General features: G+C 36.9%; 1 long non-coding RNA gene across 1 annotated transcript in view; it reads left to right on the top strand.

Moving 5' to 3' along the window:
- Positions 1-12,938, top strand: part of FBXO38-DT (FBXO38 divergent transcript) — a 115,544-nt gene that overhangs the window by 81,190 nt on the left and 21,416 nt on the right. The window contains exon 4 of the long non-coding RNA NR_105057.1: positions 11,666-12,409. This is a non-coding gene — a long non-coding RNA (FBXO38 divergent transcript). The remainder of the gene's footprint in view (positions 1-11,665; positions 12,410-12,938) is intronic.

Raw genomic sequence — 12,938 nt, 5'->3', positions numbered from 1 at the left:
CCAGAGTAGGAACTAGGCAATAAATAATTGCTAGATTAATAAATAGCCCTAAGATTCCACAACATTAGCCAAATTGTAGAGTAACTCACAATTCATCCAGCATTCGGGAGAAATCATATCTTTTCCTTTAGTGGATTAAAACAAAATAAGTAAACTTACCTCACTGGAACTAAAAATAATTTAACCATTTTTTATTGAATTTAATTTCAATAATAAGAGGAAACTAAGATGTTTAACATATTTTCTTTCACTTCCCCCCCAATGACTCATAATAATGTTTAAGTCGAAATAATTATTATCTGAGCATGCAGAGACCCCTTTGCAGAGCTGCTGTTAGGAGAGAAGGCCAAAGGATAAATGTATGCCTTAGGGCTGAAGGAGAACCATTGCCTACTCCCCCTTAGCTGCTACCATCACTGCATCAATACAAGGAATACACCAGTCCTAGGAGTGCCCAGACATAATCTATAAAAAGATTTATCAGCTAATCAAAAGGCTTTATTAATTAAGGTTGTATCTACTTACTTAAAACATGGATACTGCCTAAATGTAGCATGTCCAGATCAAATGGCCCAGGGTAGAAAGAAAAAAAAAAAAAGGTCATGAGAAATGACTCTAGTAACTTGAGGGTTTTTGTTTTTAATGGAGAAGAAAAATTTGAGAATGCATTAAGTAGAAGTAGGAATATGCATTTTATATGACTAACTGGGAGAGAGAGTAAAAACCTGTTCTGTCATGAAAGGCTCTGAAGGTTGAAAGCATCACAAATGTAGCTGTGGATTTAAGGTAAGCAGAGCTGCCTATCAATCAGATCTCTATAGCAACGTTCATGCTTCATCATGAGGTGCATTTCCTTTTTGTGGAAAATCCTGTAGATGCTGGTCCACTAGGAATACTGCGAAAGAAATCAGAGATGATTTAGATGGTCTCTGAGTCCTCATTCAACTCTGAAAACCTGTGGTTATACCCAAGTTAAACTCAGTCAATGTATTGTGGATTCAAAAGACTTTCCTTTACTCATGTCTGATATACAGGCATACTTTGCAGATGTTGCAGGATCATTACCAGAGCACAAAAATAAAGTGATTATTGCAATAAAGCAAGTCACACGGATTTTTTTTGGTCTCCCAGTAGATATAAAAATTATGTTTACACTGTACTCTAGTCTATTAAATATACAATAGTATTATGTCTAAAAACAATAGACATAATTTAATTAAAAAATCTTTATTGCTAAAAAATGCTAACAGTTATTTGAACCTTTAACAAGTTGTTGTTTTTTTGCTGGTGGAGGATCTGATATTGATGGCTGCTTACTGATCAGAGTGGTGATTGATGATGGTTGGGGTAGCTGTGGAAAGTTTTAAAAATAAGACAACAGTAAAGTTTGCTGCATCAATTGACTCTTTCTTTCAAGAAAGATTTCTCTATAGCATGCAGTGATTTTTGATAGAACTTTACCCAAAGACCTTTCAAAATTGTCAATCCTCTGAAACTGCCACTGTTTTATCAACTAAGTTTAGGTGATATTCTCAATTTTTTATTGTGTTTTCAACAGTGTTTACAATATCTTCATCAGCAGTAGATTTTATCTCAAGAAACCACTTCCTTTACTTATTAATAAGAAAAAACTCATCATCCATTGAAGTTTAATCATGAGGTTACAACAATTCAGGCACATCTTCAGACTCCAATCTAATTCTAGTTTTCTTGCTATTTCCACCACACTGCAGCAACTTCCTCTACTGGTCTTGAACCCCTCAGAGTTGTCCATGACAGTTGTATTCACCTTCTAAACCCTTGCTAATGTTCTTTTGAGCTCCTCCCATGAATCACAAATGTTCTTAATGGCAAATAGAATGGCAAATAGAATTACTAAAATTTAGTAGTACTTTTTAACTTGCCTTAACATAATGCATGATATTTTAAATTATTAAACAGGACAAGGTAATGCTTCCATTTTGAATACAAATAAATATTATAAATCAAAATGCTTTGCTGGAAAAATCCATGATGCATTGATGCAATAAAAATGAAATGTCTTGTTAACTTTCAGAGATGGGTGTTATTATACCACCCATCTCAGCTGGTTCTTTGTTACTAATGACATTGTTGTTTAATGGGTTTGTTATAATTTGACCCAAATTTTAAACTATGAAAAACATCCTTAAGCTTTTTTTCCACATTGGAAAACATTTTTTTTAAACAATGATAATGGGAAATGAGACAGACCCTGAGATAAAAGCCTTGATGCAGGAGATGGATTGAGGGGAGAAAAAGAAAGCATGAAAGAAAGGAATCAGGCTCTATGAACCCTGGGACAGTACTGAAGGAAAAGCACTGCAACAGAAAATGCATTCCTGATGATGGCAAGAGGATTAGAAACATATAGGTAAAGGTAGTGGTAGTTTTCTTTCTTTCTTTTTTTTTTTTTTTTTTTCTGAGATGGAGTTTTGCTCTGTTGCCCAGGCTGGAGTGCAGTGGCACAATCTTGGCTCACTGCAAGCTCCGCCTCCCGGGTTCAAGCGATTCTTCTGCCTCAGCCTCCTGAGTAGCTGGGACTACAGGCGCACACCACCACTCCCAGCTAATTTTTGTGTTTTTAGTAGAGACGGGGTTGCACCATATTGGCCAGGCAGGTCTCAAAACTCCTGACCTCGTGATCCACCTACCTCGGCCTCCCAAAGTGCTGGGATTACAGGTGTGAGCCACCGTGACCAGCCAGGTAGTGGTAGCTTTTCAATTTAAAAAATGGGACCTCCTTACAAACTCCAATTCCAGTTTTATGTAGGAGATGAAAAAAACTAAAATATATGATGAAATGGGAACCATGAAAAAGAAGTGAGATTATTTGGGCAATGTCTGAGAAATAGGAAAAGTGAAAAAAGCTAAAGAGTAATAATAGCACAAATACAGAGAAGAAAGAGCTGAAGAAATGAGTACTAAATTAACCCCAAAACTGTATAGGACATGGTAGCATCAGAGAATATGGAATTGTGTAGTAAAGAGAATACGGAATTGTGTCATGAAGAAATTGGTCTTTTCCAAAAAAGGATTTGGCCTTTATTCTTGACTTCTGAGATGTAATTTAAGTTAGAGTGTCCTTGTTTAGAGCAGCATCTGGCCACAACAGATCTTAGGATGTGGCTGGCCACACCTGACAATTTAGGGTAGGGCTGTTCATACCAGAAAGACCAACAATGTAATTTAGGGTGAGGGCTCCAATTGACCTGGAGACTGAGTTCGACCATGTGGGCAATCAAGCAATCAACCAATCATGCTTTTGCTATAAAGCCCTAATAAAAACTCTGGACACCAAGGCTTATGGAAACTCCCTGGTTGGTATTACTCCACATGTATTGTCACGCATTGATGCTGCACAGAAAGTAATGTGTGCTGACTCCACAGAAAGAGGACAAAGCAAGCTTTGCCTTCCCCTGCCCTGTGTCTCTTCCTTTGACTAATTTTAATCTGTATCTTCTTGCTATAATAAAATATAAGCATGAGTATAATAGCTTTCAGGGAGTTCTGTGAGTCCTTCAAGCAAATTGTTGAACCCGTGAGTGGTTATAGGAACTTCTGAACTTGCAATTTGTGTCAGAAGTGAGAGCAGTCTTGTTGTGAAGGACTATGCCCTTGATCTCCATAGTTTGGCTAACTCCAGATAGGGATAATTACTGAATTCGGGAGTAATGTGGGATATGGGAACAATTTAGGAAATGAACATGTGCATAATTTAAATATCAATTAGAAGCAAAACAAATACAATAAAAGGCAAACAATAGGAAAGTGCACTTTTTAGGGCATAGAGCAAGATAGTAAATATGCTTTGTGACTGAGGTTAGCAGGAACAGCTGGGAACAGTTTTAGGAGTCTGAGAAAGGCTGAAGTTTAGCATCAACTAGAAATTTGAAAGAATTAAAGGAACAAGGAGACAATTAGTATAATGAGCAATGAAGAAATAAATTTCTTAAAAGCCCTTGAGGACAGTTTCTGACAATTGATCAGGAACATCAGGACAACTCAAGTGGCTTGGCAAGGGCAAGAGATTATAGCTGCAGGAACATTTTAGTAGGATATATGAAAAGTTGAAGAAATGAGCAGAGTGGAAATGGTGGACAGCACAATGGTGGATTATATAGTGGAGAAGATGAGAAAAGTTCAGGAAATGGATGTGATTCCATACTATCAGAGCATCTGGGATAGGTGAGCAACTGAGGAGTAAAAAGTAGCTAAGGGCAAAATAAGTGTGTGTTGAGGAAGGGATGGAGATCTGGTCAGTGAGATTAGCTGACAAGCTGTGTAGCTGAGAAGAGCTAAATCACCAAAGCAAGAAATGGCACTGGGGGAGCGTAGCACTTTTCAAATCAGCTCACGGAAGATGAATAGCATTTAGAAAGAGGGAAAGTTGACATAAGGACAGTAGAGAGAACAGACATTCACTGATATGAAAACAGAGTAGAAAAACAAAGTGAATGGAGGAGCTTGGAGACAGATATGGTCTATAAAATTCCTAGGAATTCTAATGTGCTTATGAATCTCTACTCTAGTTCTCCATGAGGTGACAACTCGGGCAGTGAGGAAATGAAAGCAGTTGAAGTGAGGGAGTAGCTAAATGAATAAGAGCTGTGCAAGAGACAGAATGATGGAAGTGACACATAAAGCCAGAGCAATGACGAAAGAACAAATGGTGAGGCCACAGAAGATAGAGGGAGCCGAGGAGCTGGGAACATTTAGTATTACAGAAGGGAAAACCAGATGATCAAAGGAGCCCAAGAGGCAGGACTGGCCCAATTAGAAGACGCTTGAGTCATTGAAAAATGGGGTAAAGCCTAAGGCAAGAGACTTACAGGAAATGGTATAGCTGTGAGAATTAGGCAGTTTGGCCCCTGAAGGCCAAGAAGGAAAATAAACCAAATGATCTTAGGAGATACAAGTCAGTAAAAGAAGAATATCTGCCTTCCAGAAATAAAAACTTAGAAATGACAGCAAGAGGGGCAAGTGAAAGAGACAGTGGCAGTCAAGGCTACTGGAACCAGAGAGCATGAAGGGCTGCATCTGAGAGCGCAACAGAGCTCAGAAGGTATGAAGAGAAGGTGTTGGCACAAGGCTTCATGCACTGTCTGCAGACCCGTGAGCCAATTAAACCTCTTTTCTCTATAAATTACCCCGTCCTCAGGCACTTCTTTATAGCAATGCAAGAACCAACCTAGCTCAACTGTTTATATAGTCAATTGGCTTGTGAAACCCTGCCTACTCTAAGAAGCCTTCCTGGATTAAGAGGAAAGGGCTGGAATCTGTCTTGTCTTCATTCTCTTAACCATGACTGTGCTTGTTAGAAACGTTGTTCAGTCCTTTTCTGTATTCTTTTTGGTTTGTGACATTCATGCTTCCATAACACACTTTATCAACCTACTTAATAATTCTGTGTGTCATGTGTCATGGTAAGTCACAGAGATAGAATCTGTATCCATGGGATATGTATAGACTTATTGGTAGCAAAGTATGTAATAAAGGGTTGGTTCAATTATTTGAGTCTTTTTCTTACCCATGTCTCTTCTCTGAGACAGGAAAGAAATAGTCAATACAACTAAGTGTTCCCTCACTCTCCTGTGAGTGTGACTGATATATCCATGTGTCTTTTGTACGTTCAATGAATTCCCTGCAGGTTGTCTGGGATATCTTTGTTTAATTCTGGAGCACATGAAGGGAACATCAAAGTGCCATGGAAGTAAATCTAGGCCCAATCTGGGTGGATGATTTCCTGTGAGTTCCTCTACCAGTGGAGGCTGATCCAGGATATTGTGACAACACAGTACCCTTTCTAGAAGAAATTTCTACCTTATCATTGATAATGAAGCCTGTATCACTCTCATTTTCAAATATAACCATAAAAAAAGTTCACAACTTGCCAATGCTGTCAGTGCTGTTAGTCTTTACAACAACACTAAGAAGTGATACCTGCATTTTACACATGTGGAAGGTAGATCTCAGAGAGGATCAGGGATCTGTCCTAAGCAACATAGTAGTAGGTGGCAGATTTTGTTGTTGTTGTTGTTGTTGGCAACTGTAGTAATACAGCAAGGGAAGAAACATGGGAAGATAAATTATGTATGTATGAACTCCATCCTCCAGTGATGCTTATTTCTGCTATTCTTAGCCCCTTGATCCTTAGTCAATAACAGACAAAGTAGAATTTAGGCCAAAAGTCATCAAATTAAGACAAATATGAACACTTTACAATGCTAAAGCCTCCAATTACAATAAATACAGCCAATTTTATGATGCAGAACTATCAAGGAGAAGTGTTCAGAAACAAAATAATAATAGAAAACTTTAACACATCACTCTTAGTATTAGACATTCGCTTGTCAAAGGGGATAAAATGTCGCTAAGTATATAAAAGTTTAAATAACATAACCTATCACCAACAATGTTGATGGCTGTTGTGAGACCCTGGTTCTTGTCTTCATAGTTTAAATGAATTGAAACAAGAGACACACAGCAAATGAGGTGCAGCATAGGGCAATTTATTACAAAGGAAAAATAATATTTGGAAGTTAGGTGCAGAATAGACAGTACACCCTGAGAGAGACTTTGGTCCATTTTTTATTGGGTTGTTTGTTCTTTACTGTTGAGTTTATATATCCTAAACACTAGTTATTAGTGGATATGTGGTTTACAAATGTTTTCTTGCAGTCTAGAGTTTGTCTTTCCATCTTTTTAATAGGCTATTTAACAAAGCGAAAGAATTAAATAGCTTTAAATTTCGATAAGATACAATATGTAGTATTTTAAGCTTAGTTTTTTTACTTAAGGTAGTGTGCTGGAGTCACCTTACATCAGCCCTTGAGAATTGGTTTTCAAGTAAGTATTCAGGGATTTTGCAAACTGATTGCTAAGGGCAGCTTGAATTTGACCACTTGAGAGTATTTACCCTGCGAAAATGAACAAATGGTACAAATTAGGGCTTTTGCTCATCCTTCTTCCAGCACTACTTGTCCTCAAAATGTATAACAGTCCAAAAAAATAGAATAATTTATATTATATCTTTTTAATTTTTAGAATTATCTTAATTTTAGATAAACCTGTTTTAAAAATTTATTTATTTAACCTTATTAGATAAATTAGGAAACTCAAATTTGTATTCATTTTACCCATAATTTATATATAGAAAAATAAGCCTAACTGGATTTTTTTTAACAAGAAATAGACACACCTACTCTGAGTACAGTACAAGTAGTAAAACAAATGATGATAAAATTGACTCAGAAGAAATAAAGATGAAATGAGTTTGTATTGGTTTTACTCCAATGTATGTTACCTTATAAAATTGAATTTAATTTCATAGCCATTATGAACAGCTAAACCATAGTGTTTCATCACTTATGGAAATGTTTTGGCAAATTAAGCAATGAAAACACTAGCGTTTGGCCGGGCGCGGTGGCTCACTCCTGTAATGCCAGCACTTTGGGAGGCCGAGGCGAGCAGATCACGAGGTCAGGAGATCGAGACCATCCTGGCTAACACGGTGAAACCCCGTCTCTACTAAAAATACAAAAAAAAAAAAAAAAAAAAAATTAGCCGGGCGTGGTGGCGGGCACCTGTAGTCCCAGCTACTCGGGAGGCTGAGGCAGGAGAATGGCGTGAACCCAGGAGGCGGAGCTTGCAGTGAGCCGAGGTCGCGCCACTGCACTCCAGCCTGAGAGACAGCGAGACTCCCTCTCAAAAAAAAAAAAAAAAAAAAGTTTAAAGTTTCACATAAGTGTATTAGTGCTTTGTGGGCTTCTTATTAAATGTCACTACAGGTTGCTCAGATCAGTATAAGCATATACATTTGCTGAGACATCAGTGAGAGACTGGATCAAAGATGTTTACTTGGAAATATTGGGTGAATTTTTGGCAAAGATGGTTGCTCAACTATCAGTTTCTAGTAACACCATAGCGTGCTGACATGTGGTATAAAATATTAATTCATAGAATAAGTGAAGCTGCTGAAACATCTTCCACTGTAACTTGACTAGCACTTGTGTAATTTACACATGGTGATGTAAATATGAAGGAAGATTTATTTTTTTCCTCTTTGGCAACAAATGTGATTAACTCTGAGCTACCTAAAATTCTGAAAGATTACATTGTAAGCAAATATGGTCTTAAACTGAAGTTTTGCATAGTTATATACTTTGATACTGAACCTATGATGACAAGAAAACATGCTAAAGTGGTTGCCTAGATGAAAGAACTCGTACTAGAATATAAATCACTATTACCTTCATGGAGAAAGTCTCACTATGGAAAAGAAAAGCAGTTGAACTAAAGTGTTCTTAATGACATTAAAAACTGAATTACATAAGGTTACAGCATTACTTCTTGAATACTATTATCTTTATTATGTAATATTATGGATGCTGATCTGAACAATAGTTACTGTCTTTTATAGCTTTTAAGTAGAAATGCTCTGTTAAATATTTCAACTACCACACAAATGTCCTGTTATGGCAAGTTTTGAAACCAGTTTGATCTCAGACTTTTAAGGATATGAATGAGCCATGCTTATTTACTTGTCTGATATCTTCAGTATTTTTAATGATTTTAATACTTCCATTCAAGGAAAGAATGTAGAACGTTTTTCATGAACTAACAACAAAAATAAAAGTTAGATGCTTGGATGAACAGTTTCTACAAGTTCTTATGACATATGTAAATGATTCAACAATTAGCAATAAGTGGTAGTGGTAATTTTGATATTAAACATCTGTGAAAAGTTAGCAGCAAAACCTTACACATTTGTTTCCAATTCAAATTTTATTTTCTCTCAAAAGAATACTTATAAATAAAAACTTTACAGAACCAGAATCTATTTCTTTCATCAGTTGTAATTTATTAACTGTAATTTTATACCACTTTTTTTAGAACTGAATACTAATGAGATTGAAGATTAATTTTGCAAATACAGTATCACTTTCTTAATATCATCTAACAGTTAAAATAGAATATCCTGAGCTTGCTGAAATTGCTTTAACATGTATTTTCTAAATTTAACATACATATTTCCTGTGAGATTTGCTTTTCAAACATGAGCATTATTTAAGCAAAACAACACAGAAAGAGTTTAAATATATAGACTCTTCTGGAGGCAGCATTGATACCAATAAATTAGATGAGTTAATAATTAAGAAGTACACTAAATCTTTTAACAGTTACAAGAGCATGTTCTTTCAAAGTACTCATATAGGTGTTTCATATGTAAAATTGCTATTTTACTCTATTTATAATTGCAGAAAAGCAAAAATTATGAATGTAATAACTAGATATATTGATCACCTGTATGCATACTTTCTATAAATGAGTTCAGTTTTCTCATTTTTTTCTTTCCCTGTATTTGTACTTACTGAATTTATTGAAATTGATTTTAATATCTGAATGTGATAAAAAATTTTGGTCTTATATTTTCTTTGACTTTTTATTATTTCATTTTCTAGTGATCCATTTTATTGTCTTTTATACAAATATTGGCCTTTGATGGCTTGAAAGTTTTTGAAAAAATGATCCTCAAACACAAATGGTTTAAGAACTTCAATAGAGAGTTTGACGATTATATGGTCATAGGTGGAGCCATGGAGGGACAAAGAAAGAGCAAAATTGTTCAGCCTCATGACTGGGAAAATGAAGCTCCATGGCCTGAAATAGGGAAGAGGAGCTGGCCTGTGGTGAGAGATGCTTGTTTGAGTTTTAGATCTCTATATTGTAAGATGATGGTAGAAAATTCAGATACAGGGTCTAGCAGGAGACTGGAGCTCTAGAACTGGAGCTGAGGTCATAGAAAAGATAAGATCAGGATCATTTGCCTGAAGTCATAGTTGAATCATAGTAATTGTAAGATTCAAAGAAGAGAATGATGTCTTATGAGATCTGAGCAGCTATATTTTTTCATTCAGTGGCTTCAAATAAAATTGATTTACACCTCCTATCAAGGTTGTTTTTCTCCCAGGTAATGTAAATTTTCCTATCTGTAGCAAGAGAAAGTAACAGAGCAATGATAATTATGATGATGGTGATGATAACAATAAGGATAATAAAATAATAATGATATCATTGTAAAGCAATAGTAATAATAAAAACAAGTCCTTATGTAGTCCCTATGTACCAAGGGCAGTTTATTTCACACGAGAAAGTTAAGGCACAGAGGAGTTAAGTTTAATGACTTGCTGGAGGTCACTTAAATAATATGTGGTGGAGTTGAGGTTTGAATTCAGACTGTTTGGATTTAGAGCTTGTTTTTTTAACCATTGACTGCTAACCATTAAAGATGCTGAAGTAAATCTTTCTCAGAGTCATTAACAACAAGCTACACAATATCTTGGAAGTATCTGCGTCTTTCAGGGAAAAAACAAAGCCATTTTTTAATAATCCACTCATTTTTCTGAAAAATTGCTCTAAGGGGTCTAAACCGATTCTTCTCAAACTGCAATGCGCCCTGCAGATCAAGTGCCCTGCAGATCTTGCTACAATGCAGAATCCGACCCAGTAGGTCTGAGGTGAGATCTGTAATTCTGCATTGGTAACAGCTCCCAATGCTGGCCCTTACCCACACTCTGAAGAGCAAGGGTCTGCAAAATCAGGGGGCAGATGAGGATATGAGGAAGCTGTCCTAGTGGTTAGAGATAAACTATGTTCTGCACTTTTATCTAGAGGAGTCAGGCTCTTGCTCAATGTCCTTAAATTGTTGAAACTACTATTAATTCATTATTACATCTAGGCAGAATACTTTCTTAAAGAAGAGACTAATATTTTTAAGAAGATATGCATCTGTACTTTTTTGAAAATCTCTTATAATCACCGCTCCCTGTCCTCTTTTTTTCTGGTTCCATTTGGGTTTGACAACACAAGGTTGTGGTTAGAAGCAGGATAATTTGGGTTTGAATCTCAGTCCTTCTTCATGAACTACAAGATTACATAGTTTACTTACCTTGTGTGAGTTTAGTTCCCTCATTTGTAGTATGGGGGTGATAATGGTATTAGGCTTATAAGACTGTGGAGAGGATCAATTGAAACAAGGCACATAAAACATGCTATGGCACTTGGCATGGTACATGTGTTCCCTGAACCTGGGCTAATTATTGTTACAGCTCTATCTCTGCCCATGTGCTGTGCCTTAGTGTCACACTGCCCGTTCCTGTAATGGAACACTTGTGTTCTCATCTGGAACCTCGCATGATTATTTCCATTATCAGCTCACACCCAGAGCCCCCTCTAAATGTCCTTGCTTTTACGTTTGTGTTCATGTTTGTCTTTCAACCAGCACAGGATTTTCACACAATAGTGAAGACATTTATAAATCAGGGATTTCTAGACTTTGCATGTTTGTTTTCCTACTACAATAGAATAATTGTGAGCTCTATATTTTGAAGAGAGAAAAAGAAAGGATACAATTTTCTTTGATATTTTTCTTTGTGTTCTGTGGTAATACAGGATTGTTCCTCTCCATCTCTCTTTGGAGAAGATTTCATTTTTGTTTTTGTTATTTTGTGTAAAGCAGAGACATAGACTAAATAATGAAATAGTGTTAGGCTATAATAGACAGCCAATATTAACACAAATGTCTGTATTTTAGAAGCTGCTTTACTTTTTGAAACTGGAAAAACCTGAAACTCTTTCTTTCCAGCTCCAGAGAGAGCCATCCTGATGGAACCTACTGACCAGGGGGACACAAAAGAAAAGAGGGAGGAGATGAAAGAAGGTGAGGGTCTCTATTGCCAGCAGAACTGGACTGTGTGTTTAACTGGAAAGCTGATGGAGAATGTAGTTAGGCACAGCTCTCTGGACCCTTCTAGTGAAATAAAGAACTAGTTAAATAAGGCAAGACAGAAGAATGAGGCTGCCATCTAGATGTAGTAACAGGTAATGTTCCAGGGCACAAGGGAGCCAAAGGAAGAGAGTTTCTTCACTTTTTATTCTCTGCAGTCTTCATACATAATAATGATCTCATTCCTCTATATTAGTCAAGATCTTCCCATTATAAGTGACGAATTATAACCAGATTAAACCAAAAAGTAAAATAATTTATTGACTGATTGATATGGTTTGGATTTGTGTCCCCGCCCAAATCTCATGTAGAATTGTAATCCCCAGTGCCAGTTGGAGGTGGGTCCTGGTGGGAGGTGATGGGATCATGTGGGTGGTTTCTCATGGTGTAACGCAATCCACCTTGGTGCTGTCGTCACGATGGTGAGTCCTCATGAGATCTGGTTGTTTCAAGGTGTGTGGCACCTCACCTCTCTCTCTCTCTTCTCCTGCTCCCACCACGTGAGGCACCTCTCTCCCCCTTTGCCTTTTGCCATGATTGGAAACTTCCTGAGGCCTCCCCAGAAGCAGAAGCCCCTATGCTTCCTGCACAGCCTGCAGAACCGTGAGCCAATTAAACTTCTTTTCTTTATAAATTATGCAGTCTCAGGTATTTTTTTTATAGCAGTGAAAGAACGGAGTAATACAATGATATAATTGGAATAGGATGAGATGGAGTGAGCATTAGGTATGCTGGAACTAGGGGATCAAATGATATCAACTCACTCTCTTCTGCTCAAAAACATACGTAATCCCCAAAAATGCTTGGCTCTTCTTCTTCCTTTTATTAACATGTGGCCACTATTCTATCCTAATGAATATGGGCTTTACCCAGGAAATGAGTTAAAAGGCCACAGCTATGTGTATATGTGTATGTGTGTTGGGGGAGGGGGGAGGGGTTGGAGGTCTTAGTTTACCTTTTCTGCTCCAATACCTATCCACTGATGACTTCTAAACTTTTTGTCAGCACCATCCTAATTCTGATTCCCAGATCTAGATATTTAGAGGGCAATTTGGCCTAGATGTCTAATAAGTCATTCAACTACAAAGCAGTCAAAATAGAAGTTGCTATTCTTCTTATGTTTTATCCTTAG

Source organism: Homo sapiens, chromosome 5, assembly GCF_000001405.40.
Source record: "Homo sapiens chromosome 5, GRCh38.p14 Primary Assembly".
In the NCBI taxonomy this organism is placed as follows: Eukaryota; Metazoa; Chordata; class Mammalia; order Primates; family Hominidae; genus Homo; species Homo sapiens.
Note: the sequence above shows the minus strand (reverse complement) of the source record. Positions and strands in the feature narration are given on the sequence as shown.